The sequence below is a fragment of the Homo sapiens genome, chromosome 1, assembly GCF_000001405.40.
Source record: "Homo sapiens chromosome 1, GRCh38.p14 Primary Assembly".
In the NCBI taxonomy this organism is placed as follows: domain Eukaryota; kingdom Metazoa; phylum Chordata; class Mammalia; order Primates; family Hominidae; genus Homo; species Homo sapiens.
Window position 1 is genome coordinate 159,522,360 of NC_000001.11, and position 22,686 is coordinate 159,545,045.

At 38.2% G+C, this 22,686-nt stretch overlaps 1 protein-coding gene across 1 annotated transcript; it reads right to left on the minus strand.

Annotated features, from left to right (window-relative positions):
• Window positions 1–12,718: 12,718 nt before the first annotated feature.
• On the minus strand, window positions 12,719–13,648 carry OR10J5 (olfactory receptor family 10 subfamily J member 5). The gene has a single exon (NM_001004469.1). It carries the CDS (start codon window positions 13,646–13,648, stop codon window positions 12,719–12,721), a length of 930 nt encoding a protein of 309 aa, NP_001004469.1.
• Window positions 13,649–22,686: the final 9,038 nt, after the last annotated feature.

Sequence of the window (22,686 nt, forward strand, 5' to 3'; positions counted from 1 at the left end):
TGTATCTAAAACTTTACTGAATTTGTTCATCAAATCTAAGAGTGTTTTTAGAGGAGTCATTAGGGTTTTCTAAGATCATATCATCAGTGAGCAGAGATAGTTTGACTTCCTCTTTTCCAATGTGAATGCCTTAAATTTCTTTCTCTTGCCTAAATGCTCTGGCTAGGACTTCCAGTACTACGTTGAATAAGAGTGGTAAATGGGTGCATTCTTGTCTTATTGCAGTTCTTAGGGAGATTGCCTTCAACTTTTCCCAATTCAGTATTATGTTGGCTGCAGTTTTGTCATATATGGCTTTTATTATTTTGAGGTATGTTCCTTCTATGCATAGTTTGTTGGGGACATTATTATGCTGAATTTTATCAAATGCTTTTTCTGCATCTATTGAGATGATCATATGGTTTTCGTTTTTAATTCTGATTATGTCATGAGTCACATTGATTGATTTGTGTATGTTGAACCATCCTTGCATCCACAGAATAAAATCCACTTGATTATGGTGGTATTTTTTTATATGATACTGGATTCCATTAGCTAGTATTTTGTTGAGAATTTTTGCCTCTATGTGCATCAGAGATACTGGTCTGTAGTTCTGTTTTATTGTTGTCCTCTTGTAAGGCTTTGGTTTTAGGATGATACTAACTTCATAGAATGAGTTAGGGAGGATTTACTTCCTCTCTATTTTCTTGGAATAGTTTCAGTAGGATTAGTACAAATTCTTTGTATGTTTCATAGAATTGGATGTGAACTCACCTGGTCCTGGGATTTTTTTGTTGTTGGCAGAATTTTATTACTGACTCAACCTCACTCTTCATTATTGGTCTGTTCAGGATTTCTACCTCTTCCTGGTTTAATCTTGGGAGATTGTATATTTCCATGAATTAATACATTTCCTCTAGGTTTTCTAATTTGCCAATGTAGAGTTGTTCATAGTAGTCTCTGATGTTCTTTTGCATTTCTGTAGTATAAGTTGTTAATGTCTACATTTTTATTTATAATTGTGTGTATTTAAATCCTCTCTGTTCTTTTCTTGGTTAGTGTAGCTACAGTTTATCAATTTTGTTTGTCTTTTCAAAAACCAACTTTTCTTTCATTGCTCCTTTCTGTTGTTCCCTTGGTCTCAATTTTGTTTAGTTTTTCCCTGATCTTTGTTATTTCTTTTCTTCTTCTAGCTTTGGGTTTGGTTTGTTCTTGTTTTCTATTTCCTTGAGGTGCAATTTCAGATTGTTAATTTTTTATCTTTTTATTTTTGGTGGGAGGTTTTTGGTGTAGGCCTTTGACACTATAAACTTTCCTTGCAGCATTGCTTTTGCTATATTCTAAAAGTTTTGCTTTTGTCTCTGTTTTTATTAAATTCAAAAGTTTTTCAAACTTCCAATTTAATTTTGTCATTGATGCAAGATTGTTCAAGAGTATGCTGTTTAATTTCCATATATTTGTCTAGTTTTGGGAATTCCTCTTGGTATTGTTTTCTAGTTTTATTTTGCTATGTTCTGAGAAGATACTTGCTATGATTTAATTTCTTTCAATTTACTGAAGCTAGTTTCATGGCCTAACATATGAACTGTATTGGAAAATGTCCTATGTGCTATGGGAAGAATGTATATTCTGCATTTGTTAGATAGAATGTTAAGTCAACGTCTGTCAGTTTCCTTTGATCTAAAGCCTAATTTATGTCCAATGTTTCTTTGTTGATTTTCTGTCTTGATGATCTTTTTAGAGTGGGGTGTTGAAGCCCCCCCACCATTATTGTATTGCTCTCTCTTTGTGTCTAGTAATATTTGCTTCAAGAATCTGAGTGCTCCGGTGTTTAGTACATACATATTTATGATTGCTTTATATTATTGTTGAATTTATACATTTATCATTATATAATAATGTTCTTTGCCTCTTTTTAATGTTGTTGATTTAAAGTATATTTTATCTGATATAAATATAGCTATTCCTCTTGCTTTTGGTTTCCATTTGTGGGGAATACCTTTTTCCATCCCTTTGCATTCAGTCTGTTTCTAGCAGTAAGATAAGTTTTGTAGAAGCAGCATACAGTTGGTTCATGTGTTTTAATTCAGCCATTCTATATCTTTAAAGTGTTTAATCTATTTACATGCAAGCTTAAGATTGATATGTAAAGTTTAGTTCTTGTCATAATGTTAGTTTTCTAGTTATTTTGAACATTATTTTTTCCTTTTTTATCTCTGCTTGTCTTTGTGGTTTTGTGGAGTTGTGTCATGTTGCCATTTGATTTCTTTCTCTTCTTCCTTGTATAATTGTTTCTACAAGGTCTGTGAGGTGTATATTTTTGTGTGTTTTATGATGGCAAATATCAACCTTCCATTTCCATGTTTAGAACTCCTTTGAGCATTTCTAGTAGAACTGGTCTGGTAGTAATGAATTCTCTCAGCATTTGTTTGTCTGGGAAATATATTTTTTTCTCTTTCACATAAAAAGCTTATTCTTGCAGCATGTAAAACTCGTGGTTGACAGTTTTTTCTTTAACAACTCTAAAAATAGGATCCTAATCCCTTCTGGCTTGCAAGGTTTCTGCTGAGAAATCCACTGCTAATATGATGAGGTTTCCTTTATGGGTGGCTAGACAATTTTATCTTGATAATTTTAGAATCTTTTACTTTCTTTTTTTTTTGCTTTTATTTTTATTTTTATTTATTTTTTTATTTTATTTTATTTTATTATTATTATTATTATTATTATACTTTAAGTTTTAGGGTACATGTGCACAATGTGCAGGTTACTTACATATGTATACATGTGACATGCTGGTGCGCTGCACCCACTAACTCATCATCTAGCATTAGGTATATCTCCCAGTGCTATCCCCCCCCCCCCACCCCACAACAAGCTCCAGAGTGTGATGTTCCCCTTCCTGTGTCCATGTGTTCTCATTGTTCAATTCCCACCTATGAGTGAGAATATGCGGTGTTTGGTTTTTTGTTCTTGTGATAGTTTACTGAGAATGATGATTTCCAATTTCATCCTTGTCCCTACAAAGGACATGAACTCATCATTTTTTATGGCTGCATAGTACTCCATGGTGTATATGTGCCACATTTTCTTAATCCAGTCTATCATTGTTGGACATTTGGGTTGGTTCCAAGTCTTTGCTATTGTGAATAATGCCACAATAAACATACGTGTGCATGTGTCTTTATAGCAGCATGATTTATAGTCCTTTGGGTATATACCCAGTAATGGGATGGGTGGGTCAAATGGTATTTCTAGTTCTAGATCCCTGAGGAATCGCCACACTGACTTCCACAATGGTTGAACTAGTTTACAGTCCCACCAACAGTGTAAAAGTGTTCCTATTTCTCCACATCCTCTCCAGCACCTGTTGTTTCCTGACTTTTTAATGATTGCCATTGTAACTGGTGTGAGATGGTATCTCATTGTGGTTTTGATTTGCATTTCTCTGATGGCCAGTGATGGTGAGCATTTTCTCATGTGTTTTTTGGCTGCATAAATGTCTTCTTTTGAGAAGTGTCTGTTCATGTCCTTTGCCCACTTTTTGATGGGGTTGTTTGTTTTTTCCTTGTAAATTTGTTTGAGTTCATTGTCGATTCTGGATATTAGCCCTTTGTCAGATGAGTAGGTTGCGAAAGTTTTCTCCCATTCTGTAGGTTGCCTGTTCACTCTGATGGTAATTTCTTTTGCTGTGCAGAAGCTCTTTAGTTTAATTAGATCCCATTTGTCAATTTTGTCTTTTGTTGCCATTGCTTTTGGTGTTTTAGTCATGAAGTCCTTGCCCATGCCTATGTCCTGAATGGTAAAGCCTCGGTTTTCTTCTAGGGTTTTTATGGTTTTAGGTCTAACGTTTAAGTCTTTAATCCATCTTGAATTGATTTTTGTATAAGGTGTAAGGAAGGGATCCAGTTTCAGCTTTCTACCTATGGCTAGCCAGTTTTCCCAGCACTATTTATTAAATAGGGAATCCTTTCCCCATTGCTTGTTTTTCTCAGGTTTGTCAAAGATCAGATAGTTGTAGATATGCTGTGTTATTCCTGAGGGCTCTGTTCTGTTCCATTCATCTATATCTCTGTTTTGGTACCAGTACCATGCTGTTTTGGTTACTGTAGCCTTGTAGTAGAGTTTGAAGTCAGGTAGTGTGATGTCTTCAGCTTTGTTCTTTTGGCTTAGGATTGACTTGGCGATGCGGGCTCTTTTTTGGTTCCATATGAACTTTAAAGTAGTTTTTTCCAATTCTGTGAAGAAAGTTATTGCTAGCTTGATGGGGATGGCATTGAATCTGTAAATTACCTTCATGCTAAAAACTCTCAATAAATTAGGTATTGATGGGACGTATTTCAAAATAATAAGAGCTATCTATGACAAACCCACAGCCAATATCATACTGAATGGGCAAAAACTGGAAGCATTCCCTTTGAAAATTGGCACAAGACAGGGATGCCCTCTCTCACCACTCCTATTCAACATAGTGTTGGAAGTTCTGGCCAGGGCAATTAGGCAGGAGAAGGAAATAAAGGGTATTCAATTAGGAAAAGAGGAAGTCAAATTGTCCCTGTTTGCAGACGACATGATTGTATATCTAGAAAACCCCATTGTCTCAGCCCAAAATCTCCTTAAGCTGATAAGCAACTTCAGCAAAGTCTCAGGATACAAAATCAATGTACAAAAATCACAAGCATTCTTATACACCAACAACAGACAAACAGAGAGCCAAATCATGAGTGAACTCCCATTCACAATTGCTTCAAAGAGAATAAAATACCTAGGAATCCAACTTACAAGGGATGTGAAGGACCTCTTCAAGGAGAACTACAAACCATTGCTCAAGGAAATAAAAGAGGATACAAACAAATGGAAGAACATTCCATGCTCATGGGTAGGAAGAATCAATATCGTGAAAATGGCCATACTGCCCAAGGTAATTTACAGAATCTTTTACTTTCACATTGACTTTAGACAGTCTGTTAACTATATACTGTGGTGAAGTCCATCTCGCTATGTATTTTCCAGGTGTTTGCCAGGCCTTTTGTATCTGGATGTCTAAATGTGTTGTAAGATAAGAGATGGTTTCATCAATTATTTTTTTAAACAGATCTCCTAAACTTCTTGGTTTTTCTTTTCCCTCAATAATAACAATGATTCATAAGCTTGGTCATTTTCTGTAGTCTCATACTTCTTGAAAGCTTTGTTCCTTCTTTTTATTCTTTTTACTTTATTTTTGTCTGATTGGATTAATTCAAAAGACCTGTCTTCAGATTCAGAGAGTCTCTATTCTGCATGGTATAATCTATTGTTGAAGGTTTCAACTGTATTTTGTAACTCCTTCAAAGATTTTTTCATTTCCAGAAAAAAAATTAAGATATCTCCTTAGTAAATTTCTATTTTATATCCTGAGTTGATTTTCGGATTTCTTTGTATTCATTTTTAGATTTATCTTGTATTTCATTGAGCTTCTTTAAAATCAATATTATGAATTTTTCTGGCTTTTGAAATATTTTCTTTTGGATAGGATCCATTGCTAGAAAATTACTGTGTTCCTTTGGGGCATCATATACCCTTGTTTTTTTAATACTTCCAGAATAATTATGCTGATTTCTTTGCATCTGGGCAAACAGTCACTTCTTAATTTTGAATTTACTTTCATTAATGCAGGCAGGAACTTTTTTTCTTGGGGGTATCACTATGATTTATGTTGGACAGGGTCATTTGACTATGCCTCTGGGTGCATTCAGTAGTCAAGACTCTATTATTTTCTTGGTTATAAATAGCTGTAGTGTGCCAGCTTTCTAAAATGCTGGTTGTTGTAGTGGTGTACCAGGTGGGTGAGCAGGCTCACTGCCCCCTGACAAGCTAAGGTGGCATGGGCAATGGTGTTAGTAGAAGTTGGGAAAAGTTTGTCTCCTTCCCAAGTGCTGCACTCTTGTATCAGATTTTGTATTGTGTTGTTTGTGCCAGTCAACTTCCTAGCCAGTAGGTGACATTTTCAGGTAAAAGCCAGCTGAGGTGGTACCTGTAGGGTTTATGCTTGAACTGTGTTAACAGCTGGAGAAGTGCTCCAGTGTTTCAGGTGGTGGGTTGGGCTCTGGAGCACTCAAGAGCTTCAGTCCCACCCTCCCTCTAGGAGGGGATGGTGGAGCCAGGGAGGGGAAGCCTACACTCAGGCCCTCCAATAGCAAGTGCAAGCACCAGCCCTGACAGGGTGGTGGGGAAGTCCTCAGGTCCCTGGAGGAAGTTGCTGAGGTCTCTTTATGGTAATCCCAGTACCACAACCTCAACAGGTAAAAATGGGATTAGTTTCTCCTTCACATCTCTGTCTGGGCATTCAGGATGTTCAGTTAGGTTAGACATTGCTATTTGCTTCTAGGCTGCAATTATGTTAGCAAATTTTATATTGCACTGTGTGGGTTCACCTCTTGGCCATTAAGTGGTGCTTGCAGGTGAGAGCCAGCTATGGTGGTAGCAGTAAGTTTATGCTTGACCTTTGTTAACCAGGAGAAATGCTCAGGTGTCCCAGGTGATGGGTTGGGCTGTGGAGCTCTCAGTGGTTCTAATCTCATGCTCTGCCTCTGAGGCAGGGGTGAGCAGGCAAGCTGGGGAGGGCTGGGATGGTGAAGCCTGCACTTGGGCCCTCAATAATGGGCATATGTGCTGGCCCTGACAGGAGTCAGAAGGCAGTTCTTAGGCCCATGGAGCAATACTTCAAGGAGGAGCAAAGCACCTGTTACCATGCCATAGAGCCGGCATGGTTGGAGAGGCAACTCATGCACCACAGCCAAGCAGGCAGTAGTGGAACCCACCTTGCTTTAATGCTTTCAACCTGACAAGCATCCTTGCCACAGCTTGCGGCTGGCAGCAAGCTGAGACAACCAGCCAAGTCACAAATAGTTTTCTTCAGATGGCAAAACTGCTGCAGGCCATAAACTCACTGCCTGTGTCAAAACCATGGCTTCCAGGCCAAATCTCTTCAAGTCGTCTTACAAAGACAGGGTGATCAACTCCCATGCCTGTGGCTAAAGCCCACATCACATTCACCTCTGTTCTAGCCATGGGGACTCCTCCCCTACTCAAGGCCAGATCACAAATTTCCCTACCAAAATTCTCCAAACCAATAACTGCCTCCTGTGCTGGCTGGCAATTTCTTGGGCACTCCTGGTGTTTTTTGTTTTGTTTTTTTTTTGATAAAATTTAGCAGTGTAAATTTATACACAGTATTTTGCTATTTCCAAGTGGGTGAGGTGTGCTGACAAGCTTCTAATCTGTCATCTTGGAAAAAATTATTATTTTAACCTGGTTACTTTCAAGATTTTTTTTTCATTTCTGGTTTTAAATATTTGACTCTGCTTACATATATTTGACATTTTTCTATTTACCCTACCTGGAATTCACTCAGATTCTTAGATCTGTATCTTATATTTTTTAATAATATGAACATTTTAACCAATGTTTTTTCAAATATTTTTGTGACACATACTATTCTCTCTTTCTGAGACTTCAAGTACATGTACATTAGATGTCTTGAATTGTAGCACAGGTCATTGAGACTCTGTTCATTGTTATTCATTTTTTCTCTGTTTTTCAGATTCAATAATTTTTATTAATCACTCTCAAGTTCATTGACCCTTTTTTCTACCAACACCAGTCTACTGTTAAACAGTAAATTTTTATTTCACGTATTTTAATTTTCAGTTCTAGATTTCTTGACTGAGATTCTACATATGTTTACTTATTATAAGAAAATTTTCTATAAGTTCTTGAGCCTATATACACTAGCTACTTTAAAGTTCCTGACTACTGAATGGAGTCATCTTAGGGTTGACGTGTTGACTCATTTTCTCTTGATAGGGGCCACAATGTTGTTTTTTTCCCCAATGTTGAGCATTTTGTAATTACATACTGAAAATTGTGGATGATAAATTATAGAGATTCTGGATTCATTAACCTGGGGGCACTTGCTATCTCTGAGTAGGCTTAATCTCATGAAGTTTTACTAGAATAAAGTTCTTGAACTTGTCAAACTCATTTACCTTGACCTGCTACAAATACATGCAAGGATGAAATTCACCAATTGAGTTGGGAATTTTTTTCTCTGGGTCTTCACAGTACTCCGTGTATTGCATTAATCACACTGCACTGAAATGGGTTGCAAGTAGATTGTTAGCTACTCAATGCAAGACTAGGGCCTTATTTATCTCTACATTCCTAGTGCCTAACCCAGTGTCTGATACTCAGAGTGAACAGGCATTTTATATTTGTTGAAGTAACAAACTAAATAATTAAAGAATCAGAAACTATACAATTCTACACAAAGTTCATAAAATACTGGAATATGTGAATCTTTTAATTCAGAAGCAAAGATTATATAAGCTCAGTTCCAACTGACAATATCACTGAACCACAACACAAGATACAGTTAAGTGCCCATGGTAAACGTTTTTAAAAAATACATTCATGATCATCAATATATTTTATTTACAGGGTCAGGGAAGGAATTAGAACGTTTTAGAAAAAGTTCATCAATTCTGAGTGAAATGAAGTTTTAGGATCTCAGAAATAAAGTTTATTCTTTGTACTTTATTCTCTGATAAGAATTAATACAGTGTGTGTGTGTGCGTGCGTGCATGCACACGCAGGCACATGCACACGTGTGTTTGAATGAATGGATGAGGTAATAAAAATGGACAAAGAATAAAAAGCATGGAATTCACAATTACTAGATTTGTAGTTAAGGCTCACTTCTATTTTAGTCCTACTGCTAGTTCTAACAATGAATATGACCTTGGAAAAGTAATTTAAACTACCATTTGCAATGGATATATCCGAAAACTGTGGGACTAGTACCTTACAGGAGTGTTATAAGAATCAAACGGGATGATGAACACAAAAGACCTTTGTAAACTCTAAAGAGCTATATAAACATTAAAGATCGTTATTAAATGAAATAATGCAAATAAAGCATTTTATCGCAATGCCCATTATACCTAAAGCTTTTAAATGTTAGCACCCTCCCACAAAAATATACATGTGCATGCATGTATACATATACACACACACCACACACACTCACACTTGTGTTCACACCTTAGCGGCACAACAAAACTAACTTAGGTTCTTGTACCCTTTAAATATGTCATTTTCAAAGTTAAGCTCTCTGTGACACATACTACCTGCTTATCCTTGGCTTAAGTTTATCTCTCCTGCCCACTTCCATGCTTTCTCCTCTCCCAGAAACATTTGCACCCATCAATAAAATGTTTTATTCCACTCATTGTTGGGAGTGATGGAGCCATCGTCTCCTCTAATCCATTATAGGTTACAACTGATGAATGTAAAAGGATATCAGGTAAAACTAGTTTTTCTCTAAAGAAGTTACAAAATCAACACTGTAAAAATCATTTACAGAAGTTATAAGATCCATAATAGTCTTTTCATAATTTTCCTAAAGATAAATGTTTAAATGTCTTAACTCTTGATTTTATATGTCAAGCTATCAAGCAATTATTTTAAAGATTATCAAAATAACGGTCCTGCTTATAGCTAAAACATATTAATCCAGTGTGCAATTTTAAGTGACTAACTAATGTAAATATATGATAAATAGTCAGCTGAGTCTATTAGGCAATCCTGCAATGAAGGCAAATAACTTCAAGTATGCACTCAGGATTGTCACCTGTACTCTGTTATTTTCTCTGTTACTTGATTTTAGGTAAAAGGAGTCTATCAGACAAACAGAAAGAATATAACAAGATGTATCTATCAAAAAATACACCTGAGGAAACCCTTGGACAAGACTTTATACTCAATAGATGTTCACACATTCATTTATGCAAAGGTATATTAAGCACTTACTTTTTGCCAGACTAGTATTCAACAGGGCAATGGGCATACAGGTGAATAAAACACCCGCCCAACTAACACTTCTGCCTTTTTCAGGTTAGTGTGTCTCTGTCAGACTCTTCTCTTTCCCTTATCATCTTCCCTCATCCTTTGCAGACACCAGATGACCCAATGCCACAAAAAGTTAATTAAATATCACCTCTCTATGAATGTTTTCTGACCTTCTAAATAGATTCCTTTTCTGAACAATGCCTCTGACCCAAACAACAATCCTGTGCATGTGCCTTTAGCAAGTTTTTGTACTTCTTGTTATTTTGTCTGCTTTCCCCCTGGACTGTGAATTACATGAAACAGAATATCTGCATTAGTCGTTATTGTAACCCCAGAGATAGTTAATTGCTTGACACATAGTGCTTGAAAAAGGTAAATAGATTTAATAAATATCTGATATTATGACTATGTTTCTGGTGAATAAAAGAGCTTAACAAAAAACATATTAAAATAATAAAAGTATTTGAAATGTACAAAGGAAGAAAAATAAAGGAGTATGGATAGAGTGAGACATTGGGGAATAATCATGCACTCAGGATGAGTGCAACAAATAAAGACAACAAAAACAATTGTGGTGGGGTCGGGGGAGGGGGGAGGGATAGCATTGGGAGATATACCTAATGCTAGATGACACGTTAGTGGGTGCAGCGCACCAGCATGGCACATGTATACATATGTAACTAACCTGCACAATGTGCACATGTACCCTAAAACTTAGAGTATAATAAAAAAAAAAAATTAAAAAAAAAAAAAAAGATTCACTATTAAAAAAAAAAAAAAATTGAGATAGTGAAAATAATGCCACATTTACTATCAATATAAGCATTTTGCATAGACAATAGGAAGCAGCAACAAAATGACTCACTCTTCCTAATTCATCCTCCAGGAGGGACCTGTGACCACATAAACCTACTCACTCTTATGCTATTGCACTTTGCCTGTAGATGCTGCTTTCTCTAGTGAGTCTAAATCCATGCAAAGTATGTAAAACAACAAACACTAGTGGGGTATTCACTCATCTACAAAGTGTTGGAGGAGCAGGAATAGTATTGAAATACTTAAGGAATACAGGAGGGAATACAGGAAGGGATGGAAGAAGACAGAAAAACTTTCAATAAGACCACACTTGGCCTTTGATATTCCCCCATAACCCATTATTCCTCAACCTCCAAGCTGAGAACCACCCATACCTTCCATATTCTCTAACTAGTGTAAGAACAGCAATGCCTATATAGGCAAAACTGGACCAGGTCAAAGGATCCTTATTTAAGAGGGTGTAAGGATATTGTGGATGTCAATAGTCTCTGAAGGAAGAAAGTTGGATCTGGTCTCATATTTCTGTTTGGATTTGAGGGAAGAAATACTTATGCCAGAATTAATTCTCTAAGAATATGATGAAAAGGTCACATTAATACCTATATTAGAAATGTAGTGAATAATTTCAAAAAAGTTCAAAAATCCTCTGACACCCGCCCAGGCACCCTCTAGAAAACTATGAACCTCAGGTTGAGACATCTTTTGGGAAGGATATCAGGCTGGTCAGTAGGGAGACCCTGCTATCAGCTGTGATGTTATCCAACTGGGACAGCCAGTTGGGGATCAAGGGGACTCTGTGCAGAGACCCTTCACCTCCAGTTTGTGACCTCCTCACAAAGGGATCTGTAGAAGACAGAGAAGATCACAGGTCACCTAAAAGACACTTAACCCTATTTCTGTGGTTAGGAACAGAAAAATAAAACTCGAGAGTAAGAGATAGGAACTGACTTGAGGATGGAACAACAGTAGATGTCATGAGTGTGTGAAAACAGATGTTTCCATACCTGTGTCTCTTAGAAAGTACCTTCCAGCTCTGTCTCAGAGTAGAGATAAACTCTGGTGGGAAGATTCATAAAACAAAATATTCCCACAATGTTTCCCATTGAGGGTATACAATAATGTAGCACAGTTATGCTTATTTTACAAATAAATATCTGGAGAAATATGAAGCTTGCACAGTTTGCTGAGAGAATGGAAGTTAATGGCATTTACCTTGGACCCTAGAATTAGTATAACCAATATCTAAGACAACAACTTCAATGTCACTGAAGCTACTACATATAAATTAAAAATCTAAAAAGCTACCATAAGTTGAAAAGAGACGAGTCTTCATGAAAAGTGCATCTGGATAAAAATGTAGTTTCAGAGAAAAGCCACCAGTATGTGTTCTTTCTGCTTATCCCCTAGGGAACAGCAGAGATTTCTGCCTTGGTTGCACAGAAGGAAGGAATACACATAGAAATGAACACTATTTGAGGAGCGAATACAGCTGGATAATAAAAGAAGAGACTTTTTTTTCAAAGCTGTTCATTTTTCAATCCGCAAGAATTAAGATATAATTACAAAATGACTGTCACATGGAATATTATTTGACTCCTGAGAATGAAAGCTTTCTTTTTTATGTAAGCAGAGAGAAATAAAGGTTGGTGTCTCTGCGGCTTATTTCCCTAACACCGCTGCCACCTATGTTCCCACTGTCTCTACTCCACATCCCCTAACCAGACAAGCTCAAAGATTTGACTGTCAGAGAGTTCAGGTAAAATGGGAGCCAAAAAGCTTTCAAAACTGAAATCTTCAAGCACAGAAACAAGTAGTCTTAATCCAGCTTGGAGTGATTCTTGTATCTGGTAACAAAATTCACCAGAGCAGAAATCCTGCTTTCTGCCATGCCTAGAACACTAAACAGACAAGCATTTCTATTCTTTGACAGTATTCTCAACAAATATTATATTTGATGAATTTGTGTATTGTGGCATGTTTGTGAGTAGACACACTACACTGGGCTAATGGTCTCTTAATGAAATAATCCAATCCATTAAGAAATATTTCTGCCCACAACTCTGCATAGGGCATCCTTTACCTCCTTGTTTCTCAGACTGTAAACAACAGGGTTCAGCAAGGGAGTGATGATGGTGTACGTCACTGAGAGAACAAGGTCTTTTTCTATTGAACTTTCTGACTTCGGCTTGAGGTAGGCAATGGAGGCACAGCCACAGTGGACAATAACCACAGTGAGGTGGGAGACACAGGTGGCAAAGGTCTTCTTCCGGCCCTCAGCTGAGGCAATTTGAAGGATGGAAGAGATGACAAGGACATAGGAGATAAATATCAGGCCTATGGGCACAAAAATCACAAATGAACTTACACCATAATTTATTATCTCATTGATAGTGGTATCAATGCAAGAAAGTTTCATGACTGGGTAAATGTCACAAAAGAAGTGGTCTACCACTGTGCCACAGAACGGCAAATTGAACATGGCTGTCACATGGAGAACTGCCATAGTCAGACCAATGCCAAAGGACCCACACACCAGCTGGGCACATAGTCCCTTGCTCATGATGACAGTGTATCTCAGGGGTCTGCAGATGGCCACATAGCGGTCATACCCCATTGCAGTAAGCAGGAAGCAATTATTAGTGGCCAAGATAACAAAAAAGAACATTTGTGTAGCACAGCCTGCCAAGGAGATAGGTTGGTTATGAAAAATGAGGCTCAAAAGCATTCGTGGCACAATGACCAGTGTGTACACCGTCTCTGAACTAGCCAGCATGCTTAGGAAGAAATACATGGGAGTGTGGAGATGATGGTCAATGCAGATGATAGTCACAATGATGATGTTAGCAACCAGAGTTAAAATGTAGACAGTTAGGAAAACCACAAAGAGGGTTATCTGATGCTTTCCAAAGCTAGAAAATCCCAAGAAAATGAATTCTGACACTTCTGTGAAGTTCTTTCTCTTCATTCTGCTATATCAGTGTCTGAAAGCAACAAATGGAGTCAACAAGGAGTAAATTCTCAACAGCAATTGGACTTTAAAACAAAGAAAAATGATAATTGTACTGAGACTGAATCCAATTTCCTTCTTTTTGATCATGATGCTCATGCAGGGTCCTTGCACATGAAGAGAGAAGCCTACTTGTGCCTCTTTGGGGCTTTATACATATGAACATTGTCACTGTGGAGCAAATTACTTTCTGCGCATGGAGAGGGCTTCTGCATGCCTGCTCACCTCACAGACATTATAGTGATGTTAGGAAGGGAAAAAGACAGCAAGGAGAAAGCCATGCTCTATATTTCAACCAATAATAATATCCACTCTTTAAACCCTCTTAACAAGGAGGACTCCAGTGAAGCCCATGTCAAGAAAACCATAAAGATGAAAGTTTTGCAAAAAAAAAAAAAAAAGATATAGCAGTTTGAAATATTTGAAGACGGAAAACTTTGAGACGTGGTCACTGGATTTCATAACAGGGTCACCAAGGAGCTTTTACACAGTGTTTCAGTTGAATTATGAATATAGAAACTTGATTTTGGAGAGGTAATGTGGTCCAAATATGTTATTGTACTCTCAAAACAGAACAACTACAACACAAATTCTGCCATTATCTCTCTACTAAAATTGATCACTCAAGTCCCATCAAAGAAATCTTTTTTTTTTTTTTTTTTTGCTGATTCTAGTAGGCCTTTTGAGTGAAGTCAGGAAGAGAGAGCTGTGACAGAAAACGTTGTGTAGTTGCCACTGTCATTATAAAGGACTGGGACAACTTGAGGTGTAGAAGAGACTCCGGAGTTGAGAGAGAAATCTGCAGCTATCTGTAGCCCAACTGGCTTAACTATTTTTAAAAATATGGTGAACATACAATTTTGAGAAGCAGAGACACTAATCCCTTTTGTCAAAAAGCAAGCATGTATAAACTGTATGGAGAGCATATATCTGATCCTATGGTTCTCTTTAGTGACCATCTTATTGTTCTCCCTTTATTTTCAGAAGTATTAAAACAGGCTTTCTTTCCCACTCTCCATAATTCCCTGCAAGTTGGCTTTGGCATGTTCATGCCCATGAGATTGTTTGCTCAAATGTCACCAAAGAATTCTCCATTGCTAAGGCCACTGGACTTTGTTTTATCTCCTTTTTCTCATCTTTCTCTGTTTAAACACTTCGAACTCCTACCTCATGGAAACATTCTCTGACCTTGGTTTCCATGAAACCACACTGTTTTTCTCTCTTCCCAGCACTCATTTCGTTACCTTCCATGAATCTGCTCATTCTCCCTCTACCATAATTACGTATGCTCTTCTCTGGTACATCCTTAGCCCTTGTGTGTGCGATTTTTATGATGATTGTTCTCAAATCTCTATTTTCATCACCAATCTTTTTCCCAAGTCTCCAGCTTACCTCCCTCTTGGCTTCTCTATTAATGTTTCTTGCAATCATAATAAATTTCATATTTTTGAAAGCAAACTAAACATTAACCTTTCTTATACTGATAAAAATCTCTCTATTTCAATTTTTCTGTCTTCTTTAATGACCTTGCCATTATACCTGTACATTAATGGGTCAACATTTTGGAGCCATATCTATTTTGACATCACATTCAGTGGGCTTTTTCTTTAAAGTTATGCCTCCTCTCTGTACAATTTCTGAATTCACAATGACCTACTTAAGACTAGGGTACCAAATCTTCTAGCCAGAATAATGAAACATATTCCCATTCTAAAATTTATATGAATATGTGGAAGACCAAGAATGCTAAAACAATTTTAGGAAAGAAGTACAAAGTTAAAGAACTTACACTACTTCATTTGAAGACTATGGTAATCAACATTGTATGGTAGTGCTGCAAGTGCAGGCAACAGAAAAAAATGGAGAGTCCAAAAGTAGACCCACATATATAGCCACTGATTTTTGATAAAGTGCTAAGGTATCTCAGTGACAGTATTTTCAACAAATGTTGATAGAAAAAATGAATGTCCATATGGGAAAAATAAACCTCAAACCTTATCTCATGTCACACACACACACACACACACACACACACACAAATTCAGAATGAATCATAGATATGTATATAAAAGATAAAGCTATACAAATTCCAGACAAAAATAAGAAATAAAATCTTCAATACCTTGAAATGAGCAAAGATTTCCTAGATATAAAACAAAAAGCGGTGGTCGGAGCCAAGATGGCCGAATAGGAACAGCTCCAGTCTACAGCTCCCAGCATGAGTGATGCAGAAGATGAATGATTTCTGCATTTCCAACTGAGGTACCAGGTTCATCTCATTGGGGATTGTCAGACAGTGGGTGCCAGACAGTGGGTGCAGTGCATTGAGCATGAGCCAAAGCAGGGTGAGGCATCGCCTCACCCAGGAGGTACAAAAGGTCAGGGAATTCTCTTTCCTAGCCAAGAAAAGGGGTGACAGATGGCACCAGGAAAATCGGGTGACTCCCACCCTAACACTGCGCTTTTCCGATGGTCTTAGCAAATGGCACACCAGGAGATTATATCCTGCGCATGGCTCAGAGGGTACTACACCCACGGAGCCTTGCTCATTGCTAGCACAGCAGTCTGAGATCAAACTGCAAGGTGGCAGCGAGGCTGGGGGAGGGTCGCCCACCATTACCGAGGCTTGAGTAGATAAACAAAGCGGCCCGGAAGCTCGAACTTGGTGGAGCCCACCGCATCTCAAGGAGGCCTGCCTGCCTCTGTAGACTCTGCCTCTGGGGGCAGGGCATAGCCAAACAAAAGGCAGCAGAAACCTCTGCAGGCTTAAATGTCCCTGTCTGACAGCTTTGAAGAGAGAGTAGTGGTTCTCCCAGCATGCAGCTGGAGATCTGAGAATGGACAGACTGCCTCCTCAAGTGGGTCCCTGACCCCTGAGTAGCCTAACTGGGAGGCACCCCCCAGTAGGGGCAAACTGCCACCTCACAGGGCTGGGTACTCCTCTGAGACAAAACTTCCAGAGGAACGATCAGGCAGCAACTTTTGCTGTTCACCAATATTCGCTGTTCTGCAGCCTCCACTGCTGATACCCAGGCAAACAGGGTCTGGAGTGGACCTCTGGAAAACTCCAACAGACCTGCAGCTGAGTGTCCTGATTGTTAGAAGAAAAACTAACAAACAGAAAAGACACCCACACCAAAACCCCATCTGTACATCACCATCATAAAAGACCAAAGGTAGATAAAACCACAAAGATGGGGAAAAAACAGCAGAAAAACTGGAAACTCGAAAAAGCAGAGTGCCTCTCCTCCTCCAAAGGAACACAGCTCCTCACCAGCAACGGAACAAAGCTGGACAGAGAATGACTTTGACGAGTTGAGAGAAGAAGGCTTCAGATGATCAAACTTCTCCGAGCTAAAGGAGGAAGTTCAAACCAATGGCAAAGAAGTTAAAAACCTTGAAAAGATTAGATGAATGACTAACTAGAATAACCAATGCAGAGAAGTCCTTAAAGGACCTGATGGACCTGAAAACCATGGCATTAGAACTACGTGATGAATGCACAAGCCTCAGTAGCCGATTCGATCAACTGGAAGAAAGGGTATCAGTGATGGAAGATCAAATGAATGAAACGAAGCGAGAAGAGAAGTTTAGAGAAAAAAGAATAAAAAGAAATGAACAAAGCCTCCAAGAAATGTGGGACTATGTGAAAAGACCAAATCTACGTATGATTGGTGTACCTGAAAGTGACGGGGAGAATGGAATCAAGTTGGAAAACACTCTGCAGGATATTATCCAGGAGAACTTCCCCAATCTAGCAAGGCAGGCCAACATTCAAATTCAGGAAATACAGAGAACACCATAAAGATACTCCTCGAGAAGAGCAACTCCAAGACAAATAATAGTCAGATACACCAAAGTGGAAATGAAGGAAAAAATGTTAAGGGCAGCCAGAGAGAAAGGTCAGGTTACCCATAAAGGGAAGTCCATCAGACTAACAGCTGATCTCTCAGCAGAAACTCTACAAGCCAGAAGGGAGTGGGAGCCGATATTCAACATTCTTAAAGAAAAGAATTTTCAACCCAGAATTTCATATCCAGCCAAACTAAGCTTCATAAGTGAAGGAGAAATAGAATACTTTACAGACAAGCAAATGCTGAGAGATTTTGTCAGCACCAGGCCCGCCCAAAAAAAGCTCCTGAAGGAAGCACTAAACATGGAAAGGAACAACCAGTACCAGCCACTGCAAAAACATGCCAAATTGTAAAGACCATCGAGGCTAGGAAGAAACTGCATCAACTAAAGAGCAAAATAGCCAGCTAACATCATAATGACAGGATCAAATTCACACATAGTGATATTAACTTTAAATGTAAATGGGCTAAATGCTCCAATTAAAAGACACAGACTGGCAAATTGGATAAAGAGTCAAGACCCATCAGTGTGCTGTATTCAGGAAACCCATCTCACATGCAGAGACACACATAGGCTCATAATAAAGGTATGGAGGAAGATCTACCAAGCAAATGGAAAACAAAAAAAGGCAGGGGTTGCAATCCTAGTCTCTGATAAAACAGACTTTAACAAAGATCAAAAGAGACAAAGCAAGTCCTGAGTGACCTACAAAGACACTTAGACTCCCACACAATAATAATGGGAGACTTTAACACCCCACTGTCAACATTAGACAGATCAACAAGACAGAAAGTTAACAAGGATACCCAGGAGTTGAACTCAGCTCTGCACCGAGTGGACCTAATAGACACCTACAGAACTCTCCACCCCAAATCAACAGAATATACATTTGTTTCAGCACCACACCACACCTATTCCAAAATTGACCACATAGTTGGAAGTAAAGCACCCCTCAGCAAATGTAAAAGAACAGAAATTATAACAAACTGTCTCTCAGACCGCAGTGCAATCAAACTAGAACTCAGGATTAAGAAACTCACTCAAAACCGCTCAACTACATGGAAACTGAACACCCTGCTCCTGAATGACTACTGGGTACACAATGAAATGAAGCTGGAAATAAAGATGTTCTTTGAAATCAACGAGAACAAAGACACACATACCAGAATCTCTGGGACACATTCAAAGCGGTGTGTAGAGGGAAATTTATAGCACTAAATGCCCACAAGAGAAAGCAGGAAAGATTTAAAATTGACACCCTAACATCACAATTAAAAGAACTAGAAAAGCAAGAGCAAACACATTCAAAAGCTAGCAGAAGGCAAGAAATAACTAAGATCAGACCAGAATTGAAGGAAATAGAGACACAAAAAAACCTTCAAAAAATCAACGAATCCAGGAGCTGGTATTTTGAAAAGATCAACAAAATTGATAGACTGCTAGCAAGACTAATAAAGAAGAAAAGAGAGCAGAATCAAATAGACGCAATAAAAAATGATCAAGGGGACATCACCACTGATCCCACAGAAATACAAACTACCATGAGAGAATACTATAAACACATCTACGCAAATAAACTAGAAAATCTAGAAGAAATGGATATATTCCTCGACACATACACCCTCCCAAGACTAAACCAGGAAGAAGTTGAATCTCTGAATAGACCAATAACAGGCTCTGAAATTGAGGCAATAATTAGTAGCTTACCAACCAAAAAAAGTCCAGGACCAGATGGATTCACAGCCAAATTCTACCAGAGACACAAGGAGGAGCTGGTACCATTCCTTCTGAAACTATTCCAATCAATAGAAAAAGAGGGAATCCTCCCTAACTCATTTCATGAGGCCAGCATCATCCTGATACCAAAGCCTGGCAGAGACACACACAAAAAAGAGAATTTTAGACCAATATCCCTGATGAACATCAATGCAAAAATCCTCAAAAAAATACTGGCAAACTGAATCCAGCAGCACATCAAAAAGCTTATCCACTATGATCAAGTGGGCTTCATCCCTGGGATGCAAGGCTGGTTCAACATACGAAAATCAATAAATGTAATCCAGCATATAAACAGAACCAATGACAAAAACCACATGATTACCTCAATAAATGCAGAAAAGGCCTTTGACAAAATTCAACAACCTTCATGCTACAAACTCTCAATAAGGTATTGATGGGACAAATCTCAAAATAATAAGAGCTATCTATGACAAACCCACAGCCAATATCATACCAAATGGGCAAAAACTGGAAGCATTCCCTTTGAAAACTGGCACAAGACAGGGATGCCCTCTCTCACCACTCCTATTCAACATAGTGTTGGGAGTTCTGGCCAAGGCAATCAAGCAGGAGAAGGAAATAAAGAGTATTCAATTAGGAAAAGAGGAAGTCAAATTGTCCCTGTTTGCAGATGACATTATCATATATCTAGAAAACCCCATTGTCTCAGCCCAAAATATGTTTAAGCTGACAGGCAACTTCAGCAAAGTCTCAGGATACAAAACCCATGTGCAAAAATCACAAGCATTCTTATACAACAATAACAGACAAACAGAGAGCCAAATCATGAGTGAACTCCCATTCACAATTTCTTCAAAGAGAATAAAATACATAGGAATCCAACTTACAAGGGATGTGAAGGACCTCTTCAAGTAGAACTACAAACCACTGCTCAACGAAATAAAAGAGGATACAAACAAATGGAGGAATATTCCATGCTCATGGGTAGGAAGAATCAATATCATGAAAATGGCCATACTGCCCAAGGTAATTTATAGATTCAATGCCATCCCCATGAAGCTACCAATGACTTTCTTCACAGAATTGGAAAAAACTACTTTAAAGTTCATATGGAACCAAAAAAAGAGCTCGCCAAGTCAATCCTAAGCCAAAAGAACAAAGCTGGAGGCATCACGCTACCTGACTTCAACTATACTACAAGGCTACAATAACCAAAACAGCATGGTACTGGTACCAAAACAGAGACATAGACCAATGGAACAGAACAGAGCCCTCAGAAATAATACCACACATCTACAACTACCTGATCTTTGACAAACCTGAGAAAAACAAGCAATGGGGAAAGGATTCCCTATTTAATAAATGGTGCTGGGAAAACTGGCTAGCCATATGTAGTAAACTGAAACTGGATCCCTTCCTTACACCTTATTCCAAAATTTATTCAAGATAGATTAAAGACTTAAATGTTAGACCTAAAACCATAAAAACCCTAGAAGAAAACCTAGGCTTTACCATTCAGGACATAGGCATGGGCAAGGACTTCATGTTTAAAACACCAAAAGCAATGGCAACAAAAGCCAAAATTGACAAATCGGGTCTAATTAAACTAAAGAGCTTCTGCACAGCAAAAGAAACTACCATCAGAGTGAACAGGCAACCTACAGAATGGGAGAAAATTTTTGCAATCTACTCATCTGACAAAGGGCTAATATCCAGAATCTACAATGAACTCAAACAAATTTACAAGAAAAAAACAAACAACCCCATCAATAAGTGGGCAAAGGATATGAACAGACACTTCTCAAAAGAAGACATTTATGCAACCAACAGACACATGAAAAAATGCTCATCATCATTGGTCATCAGAGAAATGCAAATCAAAACCAAAATGAGATACCATCTCATGCCAATTAGAATGGCGATCATTAAAAAGTCAGGAAACCACAGGTGCTGGAGAGGATGTGGAGAAATAGGAACACTTTTACACTGTTGGTGGGACTATAAACTAGTTCAACCATTGTGGAAGTCAGTGTGGCGATTCCTCAGGGATCCAGAACTAGAAATATCATTTGACTCAGCCATCCCATTACTGAGTATATACCCAAAGAATTATAAATCATGCTGCTATAAAGACACATGCACACGTATGTTTATTGTGGCACTATTCACAATAGCAAACACTTGGAACCAACCCAAATGTCCAACAATGATAGACTGGATTAAGAAAATGTGGCACATATACACCATGGAGTACTATGCAGCCATAAAAAATGATGTGTTCATGTCCTTTGTAGGGACATGGATGAAGTTGGAAACCATCATTCTCAGCAAACTACCGCAAGGACAAAAAACCAAACACCGCATGTTCTCACTCATAGGTGGGAATTGAACAATGAGAACGCATGGACACAGAAAGGGGAACATCATACACCAGAGCCTGTTGTGGGGTGCAGGTAGGGGTGAGGGATAGCATTTGGAGATATACCTAATGTTAAACAATGAGTTAATGGGTGCAGCACACCAATATGGCACATGTATACATACGTAACAAACCTTCACGCTGTGCACATGTACCCTAAAACTTAAAGTATAATAAAAAAAAAAGCGTAACCCATAAAAGAACAAAATCACAAATCAAAAGCTTCTAACCTTCAAACAACATCGCTAGAAAAATTAAAAGGCTTGGGCAGGTGCAGTGGCTCATACCTGTAATCCCAGCTCTTTGGGAGGCTGAGACAATCTAACTACTTGAGGCCATGAGTTTGACACCAGCCTGGGCAACATGGCAAAACCTCATCTCTATTAAAAATACAAAAATTAGCTCATCTGGTGGCACACACCTGTAATCCCAGCTACTCAGGAGGCTGAGGCATGAGAATCACTTGAACCTGGGAGGTGGAGGTTGCAGTGAGCCAAGATTGTGCCACTGCACTCCAGCCTGGGTGACAGAGTGAGACCATATCAAAAAGAAAAAAAGAAAAGAAAGAAAGAAAAGATAAATGAAAAGGAAAACCGCAAGTAGGAGTAAATATTTACAATACATATGTCTAAAATTGTAACTAGCATATATAAAGAATTCTTATAATTCAATAATAAGACATTTTTCATGGACAAAATATTTGAAGAGACATTTCACAAAAATAAGATATAGAAATGGTCAGTAAGCACAGGAAAGAATGCTCAACATCATTAGCCATTAAAAACTTGTAAAATAAAACCACAATGAGATACCACTGCATGCCCATTTGAATGGCTGACATTTAAAAGCCTAACAACAAAGAATTTTGGCAAGTAAGTAAAGAAGTTGAAGCTTAAACATTGCTGGTGGAAATGTAAAATAGAATCATCAAGTTGGAGAACAATTTGGCAGTTTTTTATAAAGTTAAATATGTACTTACTCC

Excerpts from the sequence above, each read along its gene's own strand:
- OR10J5 (NM_001004469.1), bottom strand. The coding sequence starts at position 13,648 with ATGAAGAGAAAGAACTTCACAGAAGTGTCAGAATTCATTTTCTTGGGA.